Here is a 26,535-nt window from a genome sequence, read left to right as displayed (position 1 = left end):
AAAGCCATCAGAGGTAAGACTGTGTCAGAGAAAATCTGTTAGCAAAGGTAATCATGAGAGTGATAATCTATCACCTTGACCATATTCTATTCATTAAAAAGAATTCACAAGTCCTGTTCATACTCAAGCAGAGATGATGGCACAAAACTATGAATATCAGGAGGCAGGGATCATGGGAATGGGGGGGTCACTTTCGAGTATGTCTAATACACATCCTATATTGTCATTATCTATTTACTTTGTGCTTATTTATTTTAGATTCTATAACTGTACAAGCATTGCATAGTGAGTAGTTAAGAGGTGGAACTCATACCTGGGTTGTCACCATTAAAACATTTTAACTTTGTGTTATTTTGGGCAATTTCCATAACTTTGACATCTCAAGTTTTCTCAGCAGTAAAAACGAGTATGGTAAGCGTATCTACTTCATAGAGTTGCAGTAAAGATTAAATAATATTACTAACTTTAAAGCACTTAGAATAGTGCCTAGCACATATTAAATACTCATAAATCATAGTGAATATGAAACACAAATATATAATAGGAAGTCTTTAAAGATACTTTAAAATAAATATAAACAAAGTTCCAGTGAGTTCTTTCTACACTATAGGAAATGGCTTTGTACACCTTCTATGGTGTTTAGACTTGACTTTAAAGACCACTGTATAAACTGTCATGCAGGACAAAAATCCCACTAATGAAGCAAAATAGACATTTATGTGAGATTACAGAATTCTCAAGCTGAATGATGGCTTCCAAGCCATTTTCCTTAACATCCCTCATTTTATAGATTAGGAATCAGAAACCCAGAGAGTGTAAATGTCATGCCAGAGGTTACATGGCTCCAGAGCAGTGGAAGAAGTGCAAGCAAGAAACTTCCTTGGAACTCAAAGAAAGGAATCACAAGACAAAATGTAGCCCTACTTTACCCATCCTGGAGCAAAACAATCTATATCCAATTTAGCACTATCATGATATTCCAGGATATTCTTGAAAATGTCTTACCAATTTGGTGATAATAATTTTACATATGTTCATGTCTGACTTTCATACTACACAAAAATAAATTCCTTCCTAGAAAATCCAGAAAAGCAGGTGTGCTAAGCTGGTAGATATGAGACATACTTAGTGGGGATAATCCCCATAAAAAAGAATAATTAAATACTACTTAATCATAGTGAGATGATAGATAATGTATTAATATTATGCAAGTCCAATGGGCATTGTCAAATGATTAGAGCCCCCATTTAAGATCCTACATAATTATCCTTCCTATCATGGCAGAGGCTTTGGTGCCTTTTGTTCATCAGTATCACTTTAAACCACTGTGGGACATTCAGCCAATCAGACCACTCAATTACCATGGTTGAATGGTCTTGACCTCATGAATATGAATAGAGGATGTACACAATAGAGCAGTACTTTTAATGACAATGAAACTGCCATGAGGGATAAAAGAAAGTGTGGATTTAAAAAAAATAATTAAAATTGAAATGAGAAAAATCATAATTAGCTGTGAGGATTACATATATTTGTGAAAATGTTTCTCACTTGCCTTTTGGACAAAGAGCTAGAGAAAATCATTTTATACTTCATTTCCTCTCGATATGGATGTCCCAATTGCTGACAGCTGGACCTATCTTGCATTTAAATAATATAAAGATCCATGTAAATATTTGGAAAACAGAAGTTGAAAAATAGGAGTTCAGAAATGCTTTTAAACCAAGTGTCATGAGGCTTAACTGGAGACATAAAACTTGAATAGTGCCTGATTCATACGTCATGGTTCAAAAGCAGTGCAATGTGAAGGCTGTCAGTCAAAGTCCTCGGACACTGTGGCACTAAACAGCAGTGTCAAGAAAGATTATAGAATATAATTAATATTTATGTATTTAGTCCTTTTATTCTACTTTTATGCATTCCAAACAGTGCCAAGCTTTTGCTTACAGAAATGCAAAAAGGAAAGAAAGAAAGAAAGAAAAGAAAGAAAGAAAGAAAAGAAAAATGACAAATTAGAATGAATTGAAAAGACAAAACAAAGGGAATATGAGTAGGGTCATAAAGACATGGATGAAGTCCATTCACAAACATGCATAGCATGAAATTTTACATAGAGAGTGTTGTTATAATCTGAATTTATTAACAGAGCCTGAGAAGTTGCAAGGGTTGTAAGAAAGCAAAGTCATCACGAAATTTTTGCTAATGAATGTCAACTTTGAAAATGGTCTCCTTGCTTAACTCTAACATCTGTCTTCACCAGTTGAGTCCTCTATCAATCTCTTCCTGGTCATTGCAATTGTACAATGCAAACATAGTACATTGCATGGTGAAATTGCTAACCCTGAAAAAGATGCAAGGCTTCATGAAGGAGATGAAAGTCAGATTGGATAACTGCTTGAATTACAAGCCAGTGGCAAATGAGGATCTGGCAGAGTTAGGGTGGTTAACAACTAAATAAGGGAAAATGGATGAGGAGAACATCACTGGTGTGTGCTTCAAAAGCAAAGGATTTGAATATCAAAGGATCAGAAAGGCCCTTGGGAAAATCAATGAAGCTCTTGAGTATTTCTGCAGAAATGACCTTCTATATCTTACTATGAAAGTCAAATGTGAAAGATGTCTTACTAAGCTATCATATAATTTTATCGGGGAAAAAAACTCAAATAATCAACATAATTTGAGTTTTGTTTGATAAGTCAGTGCATAGCTTCTACGTATGTTATAAAAGAAAATAAACTTCTTTTAAACTTTGCTTTTGCGATAAAATTTCTATCAACCTTCTCTATCCCCACCCTCACCTCCTACCCAGTCACTGTGATCATTTACTAGAAAATTTTGGTCTTTAATATGACAAGGTTTTTTAGTACTAAATGATGCCAATAATAACATGCTTGTTTGCCAGTAGCAAACTCCAGGAGTAAAACAGGATTAATTACATGATTCATGGTGTCCCTGAGATTAAAAAAAAAAAGTTAGTTGCTCAGTATTAAAAAATCACATTTATTTCTGATACCAAATGGGAGCCATACAATCAAGACACTGTGAGATGTAAAACATCACATGTTCTTACAAAAAGCACAATGATTATTTCCATGGGGTTACGTTTTCATTGCAGTTCATACTATAACCTAATGGCTGTCTATAAGCAAATAAGTTTGGGAAAGGCTGCATATTATTCTTGGAGATGTCCTGTGTACCCATTATGTTGCTAAGAACTTGGGTAAATCACTACAGCATTGTGGTCAAGAGCTCAGACTCTGGAGCCCAAGTGTCTGGGCTTTATCTTGGTGTATTAGTTAGTACTCATGCTGCTAATAAAGACATACCCAAGACTGGGTAATTTATAAAGGAAAGAGGTTTAATTGACTTACAGTTCAGCATGGCCAGACCTCAGAAAACATACAATCAGGGCAGAAAGGGAAGCAAACATGTGCTTCTTCAAACGGCAGCAGGAAGGAGAAGAATTAGCAAAAGCAGGGGAAACCCCTTATAAAACCATCAGATCTCGTGAGAACTCACTATCACAAGAACAGCATGGCGGTAACTGCCCTATGATTCAATTACCTCCCACCGGGTCCTTCCCCCAACACGTGGGCATTATGGGAGCTGCAATTCAAGATGAAATTCAGGTGGAGACACAGCCAAACCATATCACTTGGCTCTTGTTGTTAGGCCTTAGTTGCACTTACATCTGGGACATGTTACTAACCTCTCCATACCTCAGTGTCCTCATCTGCAAAACGAGAAGAAGAAGAAGAATAGTATTTTCTTTATAGGGTTGCTGTTTAGGTTAATTCATCATGTACAATACCTGACACCAGCATCTGCTATCACTTACAGATATGTCCTGCATAGAAACCAGCTTAACATTATTGAATTCTGTTTTTCACACCATATTTGATCACAGAAGCCCCCCAACTCCAGCCCCTACCACTTTTTTTCAATAACATCTATTAACATGCTGGAAATAAGGTACGTGAAATTTATAAAACTGTAGGTTTTAGATTGATGTGCAAATCACGATCACTTGTAACACTTTTTCAAAAAGAAAATATTCATCTTCCACCCCAAATGAAGATACTGAGTCCATGATGTGCCATGGGCACCATTCCCTGAATTTTAGAAAGTTCCCCAGGTGATTCTGACATGGTTCTTAACTATTATTCAGAGCAGTAGCTCTTCTAGCAGCATCTGCATCACATAAGACTTGTTAGGAATGCAAATTATTGGTCCTTGCTCCAGATCTAGAGCTCGGAAACTCTGCTGAGGGGGCAGGGGAGGACAGCAATCATTTCCAAGTGATTCTGTTTGAGAAGCACTGATATAGGAGAATGAGTAAAATTGGCTGCCCTTCAGTAGGCCCTCTATACATTTAACTTCTCTGCTGAGACTTTAAGAGACTTCAGATAGACATGATAAATTTCAAGTAGATTGCAGTATGTCTGAAGTTATTCTCCTGAAAAGAAGAAAAGCCGCTCTTCTATCTTCCCATTAAATTCAGAGCCAAAAGGTTTGGAAATCAGCTGAGCTTGGATCAGAATTAGCACAGTACCCACAAGGACCTGGACCTAAATAGAAGGCCACCTCAAGTGGTTTTGTACAGTGTCAGCTTAGCTAAAATCTAGAACCACATATCCAAGAAGAGAGGCACGTATCCAAGATCTCCCTTTCCGGGATGGTTCTGGGTTAGGGCAGGCCATTAGAGAAATGTGCCTAAAATTCGGAAGATGGAAATAAGGCGGCAGCTGTCACTCTCTGAAGGTGGATGTAGGTGTCAGGTGCTGTTGGAGAGCTTGCCTACGTGGCTGCTTTGTGGTCCTGCTTGCTGGCTGAGGCCAGCAGCTGAGCTTACAGCTGCCCTGTCTTCCTAGTTATGCAGCTTCTTCGAGTATGGGGCCAGATGTGTGTGCAGCTCCCCGGCGAAGGGCTCCAGCCTCTTCTGTAGGTCATGCACATCACTGAGGTTAAAGATGAGGGTCCTAGTTTGTCCTAATTCTCATCCACCTCAAATCGGCTTTTCCTCCTTATTGCCTGCCCTGCTGACTTGCAGTGGCCTCAGGACCATCCCCAGTGCAGAGGCAGCTGCCGTTCATACATGGCTTAGCCAGCCTCCTTTGGTGGTTGTTGGTTAGTCACTTGTGTTTCATCTCTCCAACAGTCCCCTTCCAGGCTCGGACTTCCACCGTGAAATCACTGAGCTTCTACTCAGAAGTATCTGGTATGTGTGCATATGTGTATGTGTGTGTGTGTGTGTATTTATATAGAGCAGATTTATACAACTCTAAGCAAAGGATATTGTGACCTAAGTAGCAAGGAGATTAGCTATTTCTCAACTGACTCTAAGATAGAAAGTTTTCTCAGCCAAAAGCGGGAAGAGTAAACAGACTTTAGCTTAGCCTATTTGGTGGAATGACTAATAGTAACTGAGCTATAGTGGATGTTGATTACGTGCCAGGCCATGTACTAAATACTTTTCATACAGCATCACTTAATCCTTACAAACCTATCAGGTGGGTACTCTCACTTTCCTCATTTTACATATGAGACAACTGAGGCTTAAAGAGATTGCATAGCTGACCGGTATCTGAGTATTTTAGAAATGTTTTGTATTACTCGGGATGCTGAAGAAGGAGAATCACTTGAACCTTGAACCTGGGAGGCAGAGGTTGCAGTGAGCTGAGATCGCGCCACTCCACTCCAGCCTGGGCGACAGAGTGAGACTCTGTCTCAAAAAAAAAAAAAAAAAAAAAAAAAAAAAAAAGTTTTGTATTAGGCTTCCCCCTAACCAGAGGACAAGAGATCTGACTGATACAGTAAACCTCCATTGCTTCAACTCTGTGCTCATTAAACAAACTTTAATGATTTGTCCACTATTAGACATGTTTCTTATTATGAAAGTAAAATATTCATTGAAGGAAAATTGGACAATTCAGATAAGTGTAAAGAAGTGAATAAAATCACCCAGAATCCCATCAATTAGGCAATTTCTTCAAAAATGACTTTCTACTACTTCTACGTCCTATAAAAATAAAATCCATTTTTATAGGTTTTCTGCTCCCACCACTTCTCGTTTTAAATACACGTCTGTTTCTATTAAACATAAGATGATTTCAATTTAAGTTTTATGTAAAAATAGACTCTTTGGTGTGAACAGAATTGTCTAATATTTGAAATGCATTCAATGAGTTCATGGTTAACATGCCAAGAAAAAAGCTTAAGACATAATAAAAAAAAGTGGTGGCTGTGGAATTTCCTTTTAATGGCTTCTGATAAGTTTTTACTTGCATTCTGAAAAAGTCCTTTACACTGTTTTATTGAGATGCCATGAAGTCACTGGGGCCAAGATTTACTGATGTTAATATGCCCTTTAGTAATGCTAAATCCAAGTATGAAAGGCTTAGGAGGCTCTCTCAGACATAAAACTCCAGTCAGTTCCTGGACTCACTGCCATAAATGACTCCTTTATAGGAGGAACTAACCAACGGGTCAGAGAATGGCAACAACGGTCATGAAAAGACTTTTTTTTTTCTTTTTTGCAGTTCTTTGTGTTTTCCAGTGATTGAGTGATATAAAGATAAGTGGGTTATAAGAGTATATGTTACCATTCACTGTGAGTTTCCATCCCTTAATATATAATCTTGCAAATGATGAACTCCGCAGTGTCATTGTGGCACCATGCAATTATCTAATAGGAAAGAGAGAGTCGCTCTGTTTTTTGAGCAGCACTCACTGGGTCAATTAATTAAACGAGTGCAAATGCCTTCAAGTGGGAGATTCAGAACCAAGCCAGGCAGTCTCATGAGATCAGACTATAAGAAACCAGAAATAAAAGGAGATCAGGAGAAATAAAAGGGAGGTGATTTTAAAGACATCACAAGGAATTCAAATTCTATCCTCTTCACATGAAGTTAAGACACATGTTAAAGCCACGTTGGTTTGGCCCCATGAATTATGGAGGCCCCTTCCCTCACTATTGCTTAGGTACTTACTCTATTGAATATCTACCTCTTCATTCAAGCTTATTCGGGTCATAGAGTCTAAAGATGGGGTGTTTCACAGTTTATATAGTATTACTTTATTGATTTTGATTTATGTTGCTAATAGAAAATGTCCGGTTTTTCTAGGCACTTAGTTTTTAATTAGTGTAAGCTTCCTGCTTATGAGAAGTTCAGCTTTGGTTAAGATATTTGATGCTATAACAGAGAATTAATTTAGAGAATACAATGTATGCACAATCCTCAGCAATCATGATTCTTCGCTCCCACAAAAAAAAACCTCTTTATTAAAATAATTGAGCAAAACCCTTGAAGATCTTAGTTTAAGACCACAGAAAAGTGTGATTCAAAGGAATGAGAAACATGAGGTGCAATTAAGCATTCTACATTAACCCACGTCCCTTCTGGGAAACCTCCATGCTATTCGAGTTCCACCTCAAATTGCTTAGACCCAGCAATTGCACTGCCCATAAAAGTCCAAAACCCCAAACTAGGCTGAGCATGGTGACTCATACCTGTGGTCCCAGCACTTTGGGAGGCTGAGGCGGGCAAATCACTTTAGGTCAGAAGTTTGAGAATAGCCTGGGCACCATGGCAAAACCCCATCTTCACAAAAAATACAAAAATTAGCCAAACATGGTGATGTGCACCTGTTGTCCCAACTACGTAGGAGGCTGAGGCAGGAGAGTTGCTTGAAGCTGAGAGGTCGAGGCTGTAGTGAGCCATGATCATGCCACTGCACTCCAGCCTGGGCGACAGAGCAAGACCTTGTTTCAAAAAACAAACAAAAAAAATCGTGCATTAATTCTGCACATGCTCTTCTCTGCCCCTAGGATTCCGCTTTCCTCTTGAGCTGTTTTTCTTCCTCATTATATTTTCCTCTAAGTGAAACCTAGCCTCATCTATGGTTTCTACACCAACAGTAACAGAACCACAGCAATATTTTTTCTGTTTATCTAATTTTACTAAACATTCTAAGAGGTACTGGGAAGGGATATTTTCAGCCCATGAAACCTCCCCCTCTTCTTGCTCCATCTCTTCTTTTCTCTTCTGTTTCCCTCTCTCCCTGCCTCCCCCAAGGATGCTCACTTTTTAAGTGGAGCAATTTTGCTCTCCTTTCTTAAGCCTTGGCACACTGGCACCAATGTCTCACATGGGGCAGGGAGTGGACTGAGAGCGAAGGGCAAGGCTTCACTTTCTACATTAAGACTTCATCAGGGCGTCTCTCCAGAAAAGCCAGTTTTCTCTTGAAGATAATTTTTTATTGAGGGATATTTTACCATCTGTAGATTGCATATATCTTCAGCATATAGTTGATGATTTTGCAAATTTAGGTGTAAGAATCACATGGTTACTCAACATGTCTCAGAGGTTTGCTCCTGATCTTTAATTACTGAGTAACATTCCAGGAATGGATAGTTTCTAGTTGATGGGCATTTAAGTTGTTTGTAAGTTTGGGTTAGAGAGGAAAAGCTGATCTGGAAGTGTAGATCCATGTTTAACTTTATAAGAAACTGCCAAATAGATTTGCAAAGTAGTTTGTACCATTTTACATCCATATCAGAAATCTAAGAGATGTCTAATTGTTACATATCCTTGTCAGCACTTGGCATTGTCAATTTCTTTAATGTTAATCATTCTAGTGGGTGCGTCATGGTGTCTCATTGTGCCTTGAGGAAAAATTTCAATGCTGATGAGTAAGATACATTTTCTCTACTTTGTTACAAAATCAAATGTTATTAATCACTGCTTAGTATAATCCCATTATTCTCCAGTTTTGTGAGCAAGGAATTCACCCTGAAACTTTCTTTTTCTCTGGAAGAGATCAGTGTTCTTGTTCATGCTTCTGGGATTACTAGTTAGTCTTGAACCAAAACTTCACTTATAATTTTCCTTCAAACCAGTAATTTTCAGCTGCCTGTGTAAGAAATTGTTTTTAGAGAGTTTTTCTACAACTGCCTGTGTATGAAATTGTTTCTAGAGAGTTTTTCTAAAGAGTTATGTACTGAAATATTTACAAATTAAGTTGTATGATAAATGGGATTTACTTAAAAATAACATGGAGTAGGGAAATGCCATTTAGTGGTCAGGGTATAGGTAAAACAAATTGGCTGTGAGTTCCTAATTGTTGAATCTGGATTTAGGTACATGAGGATTTTACTTTTATATATGTTTAAAATTTTCCTTCATGAAAAAATTAACATATATTTTAAAATCCTGTTTATTTAATTTTCATCTTATTTCACCAAACATTTTTGGTGGCACATAAGAATAGTTATTATAAAATGGGAAAGCTCAGGCAGATAAAAATCATTATTGGGGACAATATAGTTAAAACATTTTCACATCTACCTCTTCTGGGAAGGGGTCATGGGCTGACTGCCACCTGGCCAGTGAGGGTGGTGAACCTTCACTGAGAAAACTAAGGATCACTAAAACCAAAGAGAAGGTCAAGAAACGGAATTGGGTAGACAATTGTGGCTATAAGTGGCAGGAAGATGCAGCTATGGAAAATGGGTTATGTGAAAAATCAAGAGGACAAACAAATACCTGAAAGTGGTTACAGGTGAATAGCTTGTATGTGCTCTTTACAGCTGGCAAATAGAAGGATGGCTGTGCTGTGTGACTCAGGACAGAGCCACAGAGGAAGGGTGGGGCGGGGGAGGGTGGGAGGACTGTGAGGGTAGAATCAGAATGCAGATGTGCAGGGCCTAGTGTCCTACATTATTGAAGTTAGGAATTGTATTAGTCTATCCTCATGCTGTTAATAAAGACATACCTGAGACTGGGTAATTTATAAAGGAAAGAGATTTAATTGATTCACAGTTCACCATGGCTGGGGAGACCTCAGGAAACTTACAATCATGATGGAAGGGAAAGCAAACACATCCTTCTGCACATGGCAGCAGCAAGGAGAAGTGTAAAGTGAAGGGGTAGGGGAAAGCTCCTTATACAGCCATTAGATCTTATAAGAACTCACTCACTATCACGAGAACAGCTTGGAGGTAACTGCTGTCATGATTCAATTATCTTTCATCAGGTCCCTCCCATGACATATGGGCATTATGGGAGCTACAGTTCAAGATGAGATTTGGGTGGGGACACAGCCAAACCATATCAGATGTAATAATGGCTCCTATCTTCCTGGTGGATAAGGCCTAGAAGAAAAAATAATCAGTTATATAATTTTGCATTGTATATAAGGGGAAAAATACTTCTGGTCTCTAGGGGAAGCAAAGATTTTCCTAACACATAGGACTGAAAATGCATATATATGTATAAATTTTAAGCATAGGCAATTGCCTCAGGGATGCTGAGAACGGGTTTAGTCACTAGATAAACATTCTGAACCCTTCAGCAAGAGTGGATGGAGAAAAACTAAACCCAAACGTTTACAGCACATGCACAGCCATGAAATATGATTGGACCTGGACCCCTTCCAGCCCTCTGGCCAACACTGTGTCCCACCTCCTTGCTACCCACTTGGGGCCCCGCCTGGCTTTCAGTGATTAAGAGGGATAGCTTTTTCTTTCTGTTGCCCCAGTGGCCTCTGCAATCCTCTATTCGTCTGTTCTCTGAATCTGGGAAAACTCAAAAGAAGAAAAATAGTCAAAATAATTTGGTAGCTTGCTAAAAGGAATAACTTCTCTCTCTTTGATTAATTGCTCTGATCTTCCTTTCTCCATCAGAAATTTACTTGCCTCATAGCCTTTAATGATTAATTTGAAAGGACACAGAATTTAGATCGATTTGGGACTTTAGAAACTCTCTAGTGCAATTCCTTCCCTTCACAGATAAGGAAGCTGAGGTCCAGCATAACTAGCCCCAGCTAGTTATGGCACAGCCATGACTTAGACCCAGTCTCCCAGGTCCCAAGCTTGGGCTAGTTGCACCAAACCACCTTGTCCCTGGGAGAAAACAGCCAGTTCCTTGTCACTGCTTGCTGGTTTCCTCCAGGTTTTACTCCCTGGCACTGCAACATGCATGCTCCTCTTTTAAATAGGCCATATTCTTTCTCACGGAACTTAACTTTCGTAAACAGTTTCAAATAAACAGTTTGAAATGTGGATATAAAAACAGTTTTAGGGCTGAGCGCAGTGGCTCACGCCTGTAATCCCAGCACGTTGGGAGGCCGAGACAAGCAGATCAGTTGAGGTCAGAAGTTCGAGATCCACGAGCAACATGGCAGAACCCTATCTCTATGAAAAAAATACAAAAATTTGCCGGGCACAGTGGCACACGACTGTAATCCCAGATACTACTTGGGAGGTGGAGGTTGCAGTGAGCCGAGCAACAGAGTGAGATCGCTCACCACACTCCAGCCTGGGCAACAGAGTGAGACTCTGTCACAAAAAAAAAAAAAAAAATTAGCTCAAGCTGGGTGCAGAACAAATGGGGAGATGAGAGTAGCAATTTTTATTGTTTACCTCTCTCCTCTGCTATTCCAGGGGTGCTACACATTCCTCAGTATCTCATCTTTTACCCTTTTGAAGATGATGAAATCCTCCACATTTACTGAATGGTAATGTTAAAGTCCATTGTCGTTTCATCATGTTCCCATGTGTGTGGCCCTCATTCTGACATCAGCTGGAGGAAGAGCAAGAGCAACTAACAGGGGCAGTGAGAAGGACAGCCCAGTTCTGTGTGTCGTTGGGAGCTGATGGAGTTCAGAAGCTCACCGACAGACCAGGGGATCTCAAAGTTAAACCTGAGTAAGTGTCATCTGAGGAGTTTGGTGTTCATGCAGGCTCCCAGGCACCAGCCCTAGAAATTCTAACAGAGGTGAGGGGAAGAGTGGTAGACCTGCAAGGAGTGGGACTTAAATTTGTGTTTTCAGTTGGCATGGGAGAAGACTCTGATATAGATGACCTCATTCTATACTTAGAGCAGTGTTTCTCAACCTGTGTTCATGACTGTCCCCTTCAACAGACTTTTTAGATGTTTTTCCCCTAATCACCTCCTGTCCATGAAATTTTAATACCACATATATGCTGTGTATTTGTTTAGGTACAATGACACACTGGAAGACCACAAGCCATTGTAATAATAAATAAGAATTTTTGGTTCTACCAAAACCTCAATTTTTGCCCTATTGAGAATGCAGGCCTTAAACTGAGGAACAATTGATAACCAAAAAAAAAAAAAAAATAAATGTGAGCTTTGAAGTTGAAAGAACTGGGTTTAGGTCTTGATTGCAACTGTGGTATGTGTAAACCTAGCTTCATTATCTGGTCTAGAGAAAGAAGGATAATAATACTTTCCTCATATGAAATAGTAGGAGCCTGCATATAGCATTTCTACATCAAGCATCTTCTAAATGCTTTGCATCATTTCATCAACAATCTGATGAGCTCCCTATTAGCTCAACTTTACAGATAAAGGAACTGAGGCACAGAGAGGTTTTAAAAAACACTTGCTCAAGGCCATGCAGCTAGAAAGTGGGGAGTAGCAGAGCTGGGATTAAATAGTCTGAATCCACAGTCTCTGATTTTAACCACTACTTTAAACTTTAATGCATTAGCAGCTATGGTTAAGTCTTGCTTTGTAAGCAAGAATGTGTGCAAAAGAAAACTCACAGATGCACAAAAACATAGGACTGTGTTTATTGACACTTTTTTATGATTTTCTGAAAAATCATAAAAAGAAGATGTGTGCAAAAGTCACAGACTCACAAAAACATAAGACTGGGTTCTATTGAGACATTTCTTATGATTTTCTGTAAAAAGCCAATGCAAATATTAATAGTAAAATAAGTCAATTTTATTTACTTTAATGGAAAATTATATCAAATATTTATTTCTGAAATACTAGAATTAAACTTTATTAAAGGAAATACATGCAATCTATCCCTTGTAGAGAAATGATTCCCCCTGTCCCCAACAAAAAATTCTCATCCAGATGTTCAAAATATTTATTTGGAATCACAGATCTTAACATACAATCACCAATCAAGTACTAGGTAACCCTGTGAAGCTAGGAGAGTGGCAGTCAACCCTTTGTACATACAGACTCAATACTCTTGGTTTTAATAATTTGGGTGAGGGGTTAAAGGCAAAAGGAATTTGTCATTTTGCTGTGTCATAAATAGCATGAACTTAGTGACAACGTTTGGGAGAGAGGATATAGCTACTAAGTTGGCATAGCTAACTGCCTAACTCTGCAGCCCAGGGGCAATGACAATAAGCCTAATTGGCTGTTACTGAGTTCTCGTCCTGAGCCAGATATTGTGTTAAGTCCTTTGCATTCTTGATTTCACTTAATCCACAAAATATAACCCTATGGATTAGAAACAATATATTTTCTTCTATTTTATAGATAAAACAGCCAAGGATTAGAAAAGTCAAATAAAGTGTTTGCTATGGCTTGAATGTTTGTATCTCCTCAAAATTCATATGTCGAAATCCTAACTCCAAGATGATGGTGTTAAAAGGTGGGACCTCTGGGAGATGAATAAGTCATGAGGGTGAGGCCTCCATGATTTGTATTAGCACCCTTATAAAAGAGTCCCCAGAGAGTTAGCTAGACCCTCCCACACAGTGATGACATAGTGAGCCCCTAGAGAGTTAGCTAAACCCTTTCATTCTGTGACAACATAGTGAGAAGGTGCTGTTTGTGAATCAGAAAACAGGTCCTTGCCAGAAATCAAATCATCTGGTGCCTTGATTTTGGACTTCCCAGCCTCCAGAACTGTGAGAAATAGATTTCTGTTGTTAATATACCACTTAGTTTATGGGTTTTTGTTGTTGTTGTTGTTTGTTTGTTGTTGTTGTTGTTGTTATTGTTATGGCTGCTTGAATGAACCAAGACATTGTCTAAGGGCACACACTAGATAGTGTCAATGCTAATAAGACTAACTCAGGTATGTCTGAAACAGAAGCTTATTCTGTGTTTTACTGTCCTCTCTGCACTATATACTAGCTAATGATTAAAATAATAGATTTATTTAAAATTAATAATAAAATTAAAATAGGGCTTATTTAGAACAGAATTTCACTAATTTTACACATATTGATTGACTTACACTGTGTTAGGCCTAGAGAGCACAGCACAGACAAAAACAGACACATTCTCTGCCCCCATTGTATTTACATTTGGGTGTCAGAGATTTGCATTAAGCAAATCATTATAGAAATAACTTTAAAAGTGCAAGTGTTAGGAAAGTAGATAGCGCTATGAGGAGATATATTGTAGGAACTAATTTAAACTGAGACACGATCATCATGAGATAGATCAAGCTTTATCAGAAGTTGAAAAGGTGATTATTTTGTAGTGTAAGGATATGTGTAACATATAGGCGACATCTAATGGAAATGTGACTCAGGAGAAAGTCCCAAACTGATGCAGACACTCTATATTTGCAGGAATTCAATATGGCCTCTTCTTCACACCCTTACAAAAATGGTGCATATCTATCATATATAATACTATAGTAAATGGGTCTATAAAGAACATCCCATTTACTTCATGAAAGACTAATAAAGGACTGAAATTTAGCTCTTTAGAGCATCTTAGAATCTGTAATAGAAAGTCGATGTAAAAATACTTTGAAACAAATTAAGTTTGAATTTAGCTATGTACCAAATCCCAAGAGCTTTAGAATTAAGAAGAAGTCAATATTCATTCAAAACTCCCTAGAGTCACTGTCTTTCAATTATCATAGAAAAATAGCAAAGTGATTTATGGCTGTCATTTAAAATATGCTTCTAGAACTGTCAAGTATGCTCACCTACCCTGTATCTTCTGCCTGTCCTGATAATTACTATTATTATTATTATTATTATTTTGAGACAGAGTCTCACTTTGTCACCCAAGCTGGAGTACAGTGGGGCCATCTCAGTTCACTGCAACCTCGCCCTCCTGGGTTCAAGTTATTCTCTTGCCTCAACCTCCCGAGTAATTGGGAATACAGGCACACACCACCATGCCCAGCTAATTTCTGTATTTTTAGTAAAGACTGGGTTTCATCATGTTGGCCAGGCTGGTCTTGAATTCCTTATCTCATGCCATCCACACGCCTTGGCCTCCCAAAGTGCTGGGACTATAGGAGTGAGCTACTGCACCCAGCCAATTACTGCTATTAATGTATGTGCAGTTTTTCAGAGTTTCTGGGTATATTCAAGCAAATATAAATACATAGTTTTATTCTTGGTTTTTTTGGTACACAAAATATATCTTACTATACAAACTGTTCTGCACCTTGTTTTTTTGCTTTATCTTGGAGAGCAATTATAATCTTTGACTCTTTTCACTCTTTTCCACAGCTATATAGTAGTCATCATACGGATCTGCCATATTTTTTTTTGAGACAAGGTTTAACTCTATCACCCAAAGTGGAGTACAGTGGTGCAATCACAGCTCACTGTAGCCTTGACCTCCTAGTCTCAAGCTATCCTCCCGCCTCAGCATCCTAAGTAGTTGGGACCACAGGCGTGTGCCCTCATGCCCAGATGATTTTTATTTTTTATTTTTTGTAGAGACGGGGTCTAACTATGTTACCCAGGCTGATCTTGAACTCCTATGCTCAAGTGATCCTCTTGCGTTGGCCTCCCAGAGTGCTGGGATTGAAGGTGTGAGCTACTGTGCCTAGCCTGCCATAATTTATTTTATCAGTACTCTCTTTGTAGACATTAACATTGTTTCAGTTTTTTGGCCCTTACAACCATGATGCAATGAATTACTTTGAAAATCTCTATTGCTCATGTCTAAGCATTAGCTATAGTATCCACTCTATAAGGTATATGCACTTTGAGCGAGACTCCGTCTCAAAAAAAAAAAAAAAAAAAAGATATTGTCAAATATCTCTGTATTCCTGTTTCCCCACAACTTTCCAACTAAGTATGCTATTAACTGTTTGGATTTTCATTTTCATGATATGTGAAAAAATGATATCTAGTGCATTTTTATTTTGCTTTTATTTTATCGTTAATTAATTTGGGCATCTTAGTATGTCTAAAGACCATTTGCAATTTTTTTTCTGCCTGGTGGTATCACATCCCATTTTAAATTAAATTTTCAGGTTTTTCTGATCAATGTTTTGTTTTGTAATATTTGTGAAATTAAGAAGTCTGTATGTTTTTGTATTTTTGTAGCCTGTGATAGCTCCACGCAAATTACCTAACTTGCCTGAGCAAACTTCCTTGAAATAATTCAACTAAAACCAAGAACATTATGGAAATGAAAAAACAATTCTTCCATTTGAGATAAAATTCTTTCCAAGTTTTTAAATCAATTTGAATCGTGCTTCTTCTTTTGTGGTCATGGATTTTTTTTAAAAGCACTGCTATGAACGAGTTTATGTCCTGTAAAGAGAGGAACATCTTAAATGCATTTAAGAATTTTCTTTTAATGGGAAAACTAGAAAATAAAGGAGAGAAACTTTTTTTACTCAATCTCTATCACATAGCTTAGAGTAACAGTTGAATTTCTGAATTTAATCAACATATGATCTCCATCTCAGACCAACTCAAAAAAGAATTTGTACAAAGGATATTAACTGTCAATAGTATTAAGTGAATGATGAATCTTTAAGGGGGTGATTATCTTTCAAATAATCTTTCACATACAATTGTGTATTTATCTGAACATCTACTTATTTATGTTTTTGACCTCAATCTAGCCAGGACTACAGATTCTTAAAGTAAATGCACAATAAAAGTCAGTGTTAGTCCTCACTTAGGGTGTGATGAAAGTATAAACAGGTCTGTTCTCTTTATTTGTGATACCTAAGCCTTTGTTACAGGTTGATATGGTTTGGCTGTGTCCCTGCCCAAATCTCATCTTGAATTCCCACATGTTGTGGGAGGGACCCAGTGGGAGGTAATTGAATCATGGGGGCAGGTGTTTCCTGTGCTTTTCTTTTGATAGTGAATAAGCCTCACAAGATCTAATGGTTTGATAAAGGGGAGTTTCCCTGCACAAGCTCTCTCTTTGCCTGCTGCCATCCACGTAAGACATGACTTGCTCCTCCTTGCCTTCTGCCATGATTGTGAGGCCTCTCCAGACACGTAGAACTATAAGTCCGTTAAACCTCTTTCTTTTGTAAATTGCCCAGTCTCGGGTATGTCTTTATCAGCAGCATGAAAATGGACTAACACAGAGGTCAAGATACTCCAACTACTGAAGGGCTGGTCTTAACACTCCTGGAAAACATTCCTATTATCTCAAAACAGGTTCCTCATTTGGCTACCTCGACTCTCCCAGGCATTCTGTACAAGTGCTCCCAGTCTAACTTGGAAGTCCCAATAGATAGATGTGTCTGTGGGGACATTTGGTTAATTTCAATTCACTGCCATCAACACTGTACCCACCACAGTTCCCTGTATACATGTTAAGTCACAATTATCTTGCTTATTAGATTTATCAACAGATACCATCTTGAATTTTGATGCTTGCATCTTTTTGGTTGTTTTCTTAGAGCGGATTCTCAGGCTGTGAAGATTCTAGAGATAGTTATTTTAAAAATTGCTGCTACATCTGCCCTTTACCACTATTTAGGCTTCTCACCAGCTGCCCATGAATTCTCAGTGATAATGAGCTGTGGGTCTCTGAGGGCTGCATTCAATTCCATAAGTGCCCTGTGACATATTATCAGGGCTCATAGAGATGATAGCTACATCCAATTTATTTTACGTAATCTCCCTATTTTATGGTGGCTTTTGGTTCTCCAATCACAATTGCTTCTTATTTTAGATCATTTGTCTAAATGTCATCAATTTTTTATTTTTTTAAAGCCTATTTTTAAAAGGTCCCCTAAAATATTGAGACTATTATGTCTTTTTAATGTCATTAATTTAGGGACATTTAAAATTATTAAACCATGCAGTCATAAATATACTCCTGATATGTTATACAAAAGATATTAGATATCTTTATATCTTTACAAAGCATGAAACTTCACTTATACAAAGATAATGGAGGACATTAAAGATTTTAGTTTAAATCAGGCAGCTCATTAGCATGTGTTGATGATAATGTCTATTTCTATGAAGAAATCTCTGATATTAAAAGCGTAATGACTGCCAGGAAAAAATTTTGCCCTCTCCCTCCTTCTCTGTAATTATTTACTTTCTAATTTCTTCATTTTACACCCACACACAAAGAGAGCCTACTGCTCTTCCATTTTGCAGAGGCCACTATAATTTTTCTTGACATGGCAATTACTTTTTAATCTGGTTAGCATAGACTGTAATGGAACCAAGTTGTAAAACATCCTTTCTTGTTTACTCTTTTATTTTGCTTTTAATTTATTGCCTTGATTTCAATCCCTTTTATAAACTCATTAAAGCTCAATTATTCACTTTGAAGTCAATCACTAATCAATGCCATTTATTTTTATATTATGGAGAGCAGGGAGGATAGTTAAATGGTATGTCTGTATTTCACTAAAATCTGTGATAAAGATCAGATAGTTCTAGTGTTTACCATTTTAAGGGAAGGGGAATTCCGTGCAAATAAAGGGAAAATTTCTAGGAGAAGAGGCAAAATGCCTAGTCTGGTTGATGTTTCTGCAGGTTTGCCTTTTGAGGAAGGAAATGGATGATACATACAGCATTTAAAGCATGCACTAACTGTTCGTAGATTTAGATTGATTAGTGAGGATAAAGAACTGTCACTCTCTTATTGACTGGAATCTCCTTTGTAAAACTGAATCTAGAAGCTCAGAGGCAGAAAGAACACATTTTGATAGCAATTTTTAAAATGCTTCTGCACACATGGCTTCCCTCATTTACTCTTAAATTAGGTTTTTGAAACAGGGGAAGGCATTAATGTTTTCAGTGTGAAGGTGATAACATTAAAGCCTACAAGAGATTCAAGCAATTTGCTTAATGTCTCATAGTTTACAAATGGAAGATCAAGGAAAATCCTACATCTTGGTGCCTTGGTATATTCTACTCCATGTCATTCTGAGCAGTGAAGTTCCAGGGCTTTGATTTATATGTAGCTCTTTTACTTGCAAACGGTGGCTTTCAAGATTGCTAAATGAGTTTTTCTTATTAGATTGGATTCTATGAAGGCACACAGAAATTATATGACTATTTTGGTTACTGGCAGTGCTGTGCTGGTAAATCATTCTCAAAAAAAGAAAAAATTATTTAAAAGAAAAAACCCTGATTTATAGCATTTGCTGATTTCTGTGGGGTAAATATTATCACTATGACTGATTTCAAGCTTACCAAAAGGACATCATTGAATTCAGAATTGGGAAGAAATGCACACAGACAGTTCTTCCGAGCCAGTACAAGCTGGCCCCAGTACAATAGCATGGCCCTGCATTGTAACAAACGAGCCTCCTCTGTACCATAACTTTGAGTTCTGCTGTTCTGAGGACAGACAAAATAATTTTAAAATGTGGCACATATGTGAATGATAGCAAATTTTATAATTCAGCAAACATTTTAGGAATATCTACAACATATGGAGTAAGTAGAATCTGATCTACCTTCAAAGACTGTACAATCTAGTGGAGGTGCCAGACATGCACACAAGCAAAAGTAATTCAAGGGAAAGTCTCCCATGTGCTATAATGGCAGTGCTTGCAGAGGGCAATGGTAGGACATTAGAAGAAGGTATATTGCCTTCTTATTAGGGCAGCTGGTGAAGGAAGAATCCATAGAAGAGTCAGTGGTTGTACTGAGTGATAAAGAATAAGTAGTTTTGAGGTCAGGCACAATGGCTCACACCTGTAATCTCAGGGACCCAGGAGGCTGAAGCAAGAGGATGGCTTGAGCCCAGGAGTTTGAGGCTGCAGTGAGCTATGATGGTGCCACTGTACTCCAGCCTCGGTGATACAGTGAGACCCTGTCTCTAAATTTCTTTTTCAATGTAAGAAAAGAAAGTTTTTCAACCAAATTGTGAGAGTGAAGAGAGTTTTCTAAATTGAAGGGCAAATAAAAACAAAGTTCAAAACATACCCAGTTTATGAAAGGACAGAGGCTAAGTTGAACAAAATGATGACCGAGAAAGTTAGCTTGAAGAGATCATCTTGGGATAATGTTTCTCAAAGTGTGGTCTGGGCCTACTAGGGTCAGAATCATCTCCAAAGTTTTTAAAAAGTATCTAGGTCTCTGGAACCCATCTCTTGTCTACATTCAAAATCTCTCTATCTCATGATATAAGGTAGCATTTGAGGACCAGTGTTAATCAACAACAAATTTCCGAAGAATTTGAGGAAGAAAATGTTACTTTAGGTGAAAAAGACATTGGGAAAAGGGTGGATTCTCGGTAGGAGAAAGAGCTTGCTGGAATCAAAGAGACCAAGTTGAATTTAGGCAAGAGATGAAAAGGATTTGGAACTAGAGTAGATGTCAAAGACATGAAAAGGCTCATCTAGTTTGAAGAACTATTTTAGAGCTGGGGTTCTCAAAATTTCCTCCCTAGACACCTAGGAGGTACTTATGTGGGCTTTGGAGGGTCTGTTTAGCCTAAAAATAGTCTATAAAATTTTGTACACCTGAGTGCATTATTCTATGGAGACTATTTCCTGGCTTCACAATATTCTAAAATTAGTCTATAAACCACAAAAAGTTGGAAAACCATTGTTTTCAAGAAAAAAAACTAGCAGTGATGGAAGATTCGCTAGGTTAGGGGATGAGGGAGTTAAGGGATTTGAAAAATAATCATCATAATAATAAAAAGTCCAGTAGTTTCCAGCCTGAGTTGTTCAGAGGGTAATGACATTTTTAATCAAGAGAAGGACACTGATAAGAAAAGCTTTGTTTGAAACTATTACAAGTTCTTTTTTCTACAGAACAAACTTAAGATGCTTGTACTTCATCATTATAAAGGTGTCCCTCAGGCTCATAGAGAGGTCATAGCAAATAATATTTTATTCAGTGCTAAATATTTATTAGGTGCTAAATATTTTATCAGGTGCTTGCTAAGCCCTGTCAATACATTCTTATTTAATTATCACAATAACCAATTAATAATTATTATTTTGACTTTACAGAAAAATCAAGATTCAGAATATTAAATGACTTTATTAAGGTCTCAAACCTGGTAAATGGCAGAGGTAGAATTTAAACATCAGTTGTCTTCCCAACTCGCTCCAAAGTTCATGTTCTGAACTTCTCTGCTATGGCTGGCACCTTGGCATTCAGCAGTTGAAGATTAGGTCCATTTGAGCTTAATGACACTTGCACAGGAAAGAAACAAACCATGTCTATAGGCTAGATTTTGTCAACAAATCGAGGGACAGTTTTCTCTTTGACTAAATCAGAGCAGAGACCATTGTTCAGGCCAGAGATGCTGGTGAGAGCATCATCAGTGCAACTCAGAATTCTCTTAAGTACTTTCCAGCTTCTCTTACGATTAATTTCTGTGCCAAACCCAAGTCTCTTGCTTTATACTATTCACTCCTGCTCTTCTTCTTCTCCTATTTGGAAAAGTCATTCATTTGATTTGAAAGACAAAAATTAGAGCTCACTGCAGTCAAGATATTCCTTTAAAAGGCTTTCTATGAGATCGTTTAAACAACATGATAGACATGCAATTTCGGCATAACATTAAAATAATAAGTAGAAGCATGTAAATACTTAAATATGACCTGTTGTAGGTATAAAGCTATGTTTATTTCCAAAGTATTTCCCCACTGCTTTACATTGCGTGAGAAGCCACAGTAGCATGGGTTCTAAGCACTGTGTTCTCACTCCTTTTGTCTCACCAAGATGGCTTCCTTGGTTTAGAGCTAAAAGAATTGGGATAAAGCACAGCAAGACTCTGATTATATGTCAGCTTCATTTCTACTTAACTGGTTTGTCCTGATGGGATTGAGTATAGAGGGGAAGATTTCTTGGTAGAAAAGTGGAGAGCTGAGAGTTATGACTGAAAAAGAAGAGAAAATCTGTTTGATTCTCAGTACACTATGTGGAAGAAGGTTTCATATTAGTGGTCAGGAATGATGACAGTATAAGAGGTAAACCTGGATAAAAGAAGGCTACATTAGCATAGGCCAAGGTGGAGAGATAGGAGCTTGTATTATGAGAACACAAAGCAACAAAGAAGAAGCTCTAGGTTTTTCCTCTCTATTGATTTTATTCTCTCTCTATATATACTGACACCATCATAATGAATAAAAAGTTGACTAAATCAAGTACTTCATCATAGGAATAACTTTTCATATTTGAAAGGACTTATTCTCAGAAATACCATTTAATTTTCCACTCACTTCGAGAAAATGATAGCTAGTTTTTGCTTTTGTTTTGTTTCTTTTCTCATTACAGATTCTCTTTAGGGAAAGCCTAATGGAATCTCTTCTCCTGGGGAAAAAAACAGGTGCTCCTTCCGAAACCTGTGGAAGGCTTCTTTCTGTAGGTGATAACAGTCCTGCCTTCAGCCTTGGAGTCACCTTCAGTGATGGCCTCTCCTCCATCCCTCATTGGTCATCAAACCTTTTGCACTGCAATGCTGATTTCAACATGGGCCTCTGTTTCTAGAACCTACAATGACTATTGCATGTGCCATCAAGTTCAAATTCTTCTGTTACGTTTTCAAAGACCTTCAATCTGCTACCATGATACTTCTCATATTTTATTGTCTACTCCTCTGCATATAACACCTAGTTTTTGTCTGAAAGTCTGCCTATCCACATAACCAATTTTCTGTCCCCAGTCCTACTGTGTCCTGCCAAATTTTTATTGTTATTTTATTTTATTTGTTTATGTATTTATTTGTATTTTGAGATGGAGTCTCACTCTGTCATGCAGGCTGGAGTGTGCTGGCAAATCTTGGCTCACTACAACCTCTGCCTCCTGGGTTCAAGTGATTCTTCTGCCTCAACCTCCCGAGTAGCTGGGATTACAGGCACGCTCCACTGCACCTGGCTAATTTTTGTATTTTTAGTAGAGACTGGGTTTCACCATATTGACCAGGCTGGTCTCAAACTCCTGACTTTATGATCCACCTGCCTCGGCCTCCCAAAGTGCTGGGGTTACAGGTGTGAGCCACTGCACCGGGCCCCAAATTTTTATTTATGTTGCTCTCCAGATTTGAAATTTTGTTTCCTTCATCTTGATGTATTTAAATGCTGTCTAAGATTTAAAATCCAGTTCAAGGGTTACCTCTTCAAGGAAGTATCCTCTGAGCATACCAACTCTCATTTATCTTCTTCTATAAATTCTAAGGGCACACTGAAGGTCTATTTCAAATGACCCTTCTCCTGTGATCAGAAGCTATTGTTTCTCTCTCTGCCGTTTCTTTGGGTAAATTAGGATTGCCATCCAAATAGATTTTAACTTCCTCAAAGAAGTATAATTGTATGTCACTCTTCAATTTTAACCTTCCTAGGAAACAACATATAGTAGAAACTCAGTAAATTCTTTTTGCTTAACACACAATCCTCATGTCCATGATTTGAACTAATGCAATTGATGATCCTCAATGTTAGATATACCCTGATAGAAAACTTTCTGAAGGTTTGCATTGAAACAGAAAGAAAACTGTCCTGGAAAGAAGACTTTGTGGACAGAAATTCTGCTGCCCAGTGTTCTAGTATATTCTGACACATCCAAAAAGGTATATCTTGCTTAGGGAAATTTTCTCCCTTCTAGGCCAACATTGAAGGGTAAGAACAATAGGGTTGAGATCTTCTATAACTCAAATCCAAAGGGAAAATCATACGCCTTGAGAAATATCATCTCTTTTATCCAAGGTTGTTTCCAATTCTCCCCTAGATATCACTGAACCAAAACACCAATGCATGGGGTAAATACTTGCCCAATTATTAAGAGGATTGGGTGGGGAAGACTCCTCATAAAATCATTAAATCGGCTGTGCTCTGAAGATGGCCAAAAGCCTAGAAGGTCAGAGTGGCTGTGGCCTGGAGGCAACTCTCTTGACCATCTCAAAGTAGAAACTCCCTGTAATGAGGCTTTTACAGAATATTTGTGTCTGATAGCTCCCAAAAAATGGTGACCCTAGAGGCAAAATTAATATTTGCCTGCAAGCAAGAACCCAAACCTCTCCTTAGCTTTTCCACTTTCTTTTAGAAACTCTTTTTCATTTAAATAAACAAATTAGGCATTCTGAAATTCAAAGGCCTATACAATGAAAGCAGTCACTGTTCATGATGGATTAGTCTGATGTTTAAAAAGAAGGTTAAAAAAATGCAAAACAAGCTGCCACCACTAGTTACATTAGAAATAGATCACAAGTGATGCTGGATTCTGTTTCATCTGTGGGAGGTTAAGAAGAAATCGCATTCACAGAAGAATAAGCTTCACTCCAGGTATAACTGGTGGGAGGCTTCTAGGCTGTTTGCATATTATTCTTTTGAGAACATGTATACACTCCCTGAAATTCTACATTCCCTCTAGCTGCTTAGAGATTTTTTTAAATCTCAAAGCTCAAATCAGGCTCATATTTTTTAGAAGAAACTTCACCACATTCCTCATCTATATGTTTACTAAATCCTCATACCCTAAAAGATAGAGGTGGGTTACTTGGTTAATAAAGGCCATTAAAGTACAAGTATTTTAAGGGGAGAAAGAAGTCTTGGAATGTTGCTTTGGAGTCCTGGAAACTAGTTGTTTATTCACCATGTGTCAGGAAAGCATAGATCTAAACTATAGGCCTACAGATTATATACATCTAGGTTATCGATCTGAAATGTAAAATTTAAGGATTTGTGTCTTTAGTTCAGTGTATGGCAGCACAGACACAGAGTGTATACAGCGACCTCCACAGAGTAGTTACTTACTTTTCCCAAAACTTTGACATTATCTGGAGCAAACTATGCAGCTTCTAGTAAGTTTGGCTGCTCTAGGGATTGATGTGTTCCTCTATCTGTCACCCTACTTTAGTGGTTAGAAGTCGGACTTGAAGAACTGCAGCCACCTCCTGGATGATCTTTCCTTCTCCAAGCAGCCTATCCACTGCCAAATCACCCTTCCTTCCAAAGAAAATGTCTAATCATCTATTCTGTGATCTACCCTCAGCCCTCCACTTCTCCTAAGTTCAAATTGCCTAAAAGGGCGTTTGGAGGCCTAACCATCTGACCCCAAGCCACTTTCTCTTTCTGTTTTGCACCCTAGGATTCAGTGGCATGTCACTCTTGGCTCTTCTCTCAACATGCCCTGGATTTGTATGCCTTCATGTCTTGACTGATTTTTTTTTTTCTTGATCATGGAGCCAGAAGTCTCAAATTCAAGGTCTGCTGCCACCTTCATAGGTATGAAACCTTCACAGATCACTTTCCTCAGTCTCAATTTCCTTAATTGTATAATGGGGATAATAAAGTCTATTTAATAAGCTTCACAAAGGGTTATAAATGAGCTAATGTTGAGAAGAGAAGGTATTCTATGCTGGAAACATTGTTTAAGCTGAGACACTGTCCTGGACAGACACGTTAGTCAGGTTCATCTCAGAAAAATTGCCTATTTGGGGAGATATGTATAGATTTACCTGGGGATGGTAGTTTGTTCCATTAACAGGGTTTTTTGCCCTCAGCGCTATTGATATTTTGGGTTGGAAACTTCTTTGTAGTAGAGTGATATCCTGGGTGCTGTAGGACGTTTAGCCCCATCCCTGGCCTCTATCTAGTAACAGCCTCCTGCCAAGTTTTGACAATCAAAAATATTTCTAGAGATGGTCAAATGCCCACCCTTGCCCTAAGCCATGGGGGCAAAATCTCTCTATTAGATGTTTCAGAGATATATTATGTCCACGTCACTGTCCTGATGTACTGGTAACAATTTTCTAAGAGGACACTGTCCCTGCCTCACAGACATTTTTGAACTAAGGATGCAAACAGTTATGAAAGCAAGTTCCTGTAAGATATGTTCAAAGTAAATGAATGCTCCAAAAGAAGCATGAACTCGGGCTCTGGAGGCACAGAAGGAGCCATCAAGATTTGGTGAGCAGAGCTTGTGCTCAATACAAAGCAAAAAGATAAATTTGTCTCTGCATCAGTCTGGAGTTCAGAAAGGGAGCCTCTGGCTCCTGGTTTGACTTACCATGGAAGATGAATTTCAGTACCATTATTACTAAGGGAAGGCTTCTGCAAGACTGAAGAGGTAAGTGTTTCTGCAGAGGAACTGAACAAAGCAAGTGCAGGGAAGAACAAAAGGGAAGGAAAGGATCCAAGAGGGAATGTCAGATATTATAGGACTCTACTTTCTCTGATTTCCTAACCCTGTGCTAAACCATTATCTCTGCTCATTCTGATAGACCCATTTGCTTTCCTTTACTTTTCACTACTTCTTCCTAAGATTTGGTTTTTGTATGTTTACAGTTGAGGTTCTTGGAAGTATTGTTACTCCACCCCAATCTGCATGGACCCAACCACGTGGTATCATAGCGAATCTAAATTACTGGAGCATTTGGATGAGCCATGGTGGTGGCCCCTCCTGTTTTATTCCAGGCAAGTAGATAATCAACACTGAGTATGCACAGAGTGAGTGCAGCTGGAAACTCAGCTTTAATGTGAGTCCCACATCCTTGTCTATCAGAAATGAGACAGCCAGGTTAGTATTGGGGGCCACATTATGCAAGCAAATACATAACAATCCATCTGGTTGTCAGGGAAGGGATTCAAAGAACGGGA

At 38.2% G+C, this 26,535-nt stretch overlaps 2 long non-coding RNA genes across 4 annotated transcripts in view, besides 1 other annotated feature; one reads left to right on the top strand and one right to left on the bottom strand.

The window, feature by feature from the left end:
- The window catches only part of LOC105373899 (uncharacterized), a 101,158-nt gene that overhangs the window by 56,574 nt on the left and 18,049 nt on the right, over positions 1–26,535 (bottom strand). The gene's annotated exons all lie outside the window — the stretch shown is intronic.
- Positions 3,928–4,740: an enhancer, noted in NCBI's record as "NANOG-H3K4me1 hESC enhancer chr2:222542093-222542905 (GRCh37/hg19 assembly coordinates)". NCBI's record gives its function as "activates a minimal SCP1, AML or CMV promoter by ChIP-STARR-seq in primed H9 embryonic stem cells {active_cell/tissue: H9 hESC(primed)}" and the evidence as "EXISTENCE:reporter gene assay evidence [ECO:0000049][PMID:30033119]".
- On the top strand, positions 11,626–26,318 carry LOC105373898 (uncharacterized). Its single transcript, XR_923940.1, has 3 exons — positions 11,626–11,707; positions 25,025–25,161; positions 26,224–26,318. It is a non-coding gene; the product is annotated as an uncharacterized LOC105373898 (long non-coding RNA).

The sequence above is a fragment of the Homo sapiens genome, chromosome 2 (genome assembly GCF_000001405.40).
Source record: "Homo sapiens chromosome 2, GRCh38.p14 Primary Assembly".
In the NCBI taxonomy this organism is placed as follows: Eukaryota; Metazoa; Chordata; class Mammalia; order Primates; family Hominidae; genus Homo; species Homo sapiens.
The sequence above is the reverse complement of the archived record's forward strand: the minus strand, read 5'-3'. Positions and strand labels throughout refer to the sequence as shown.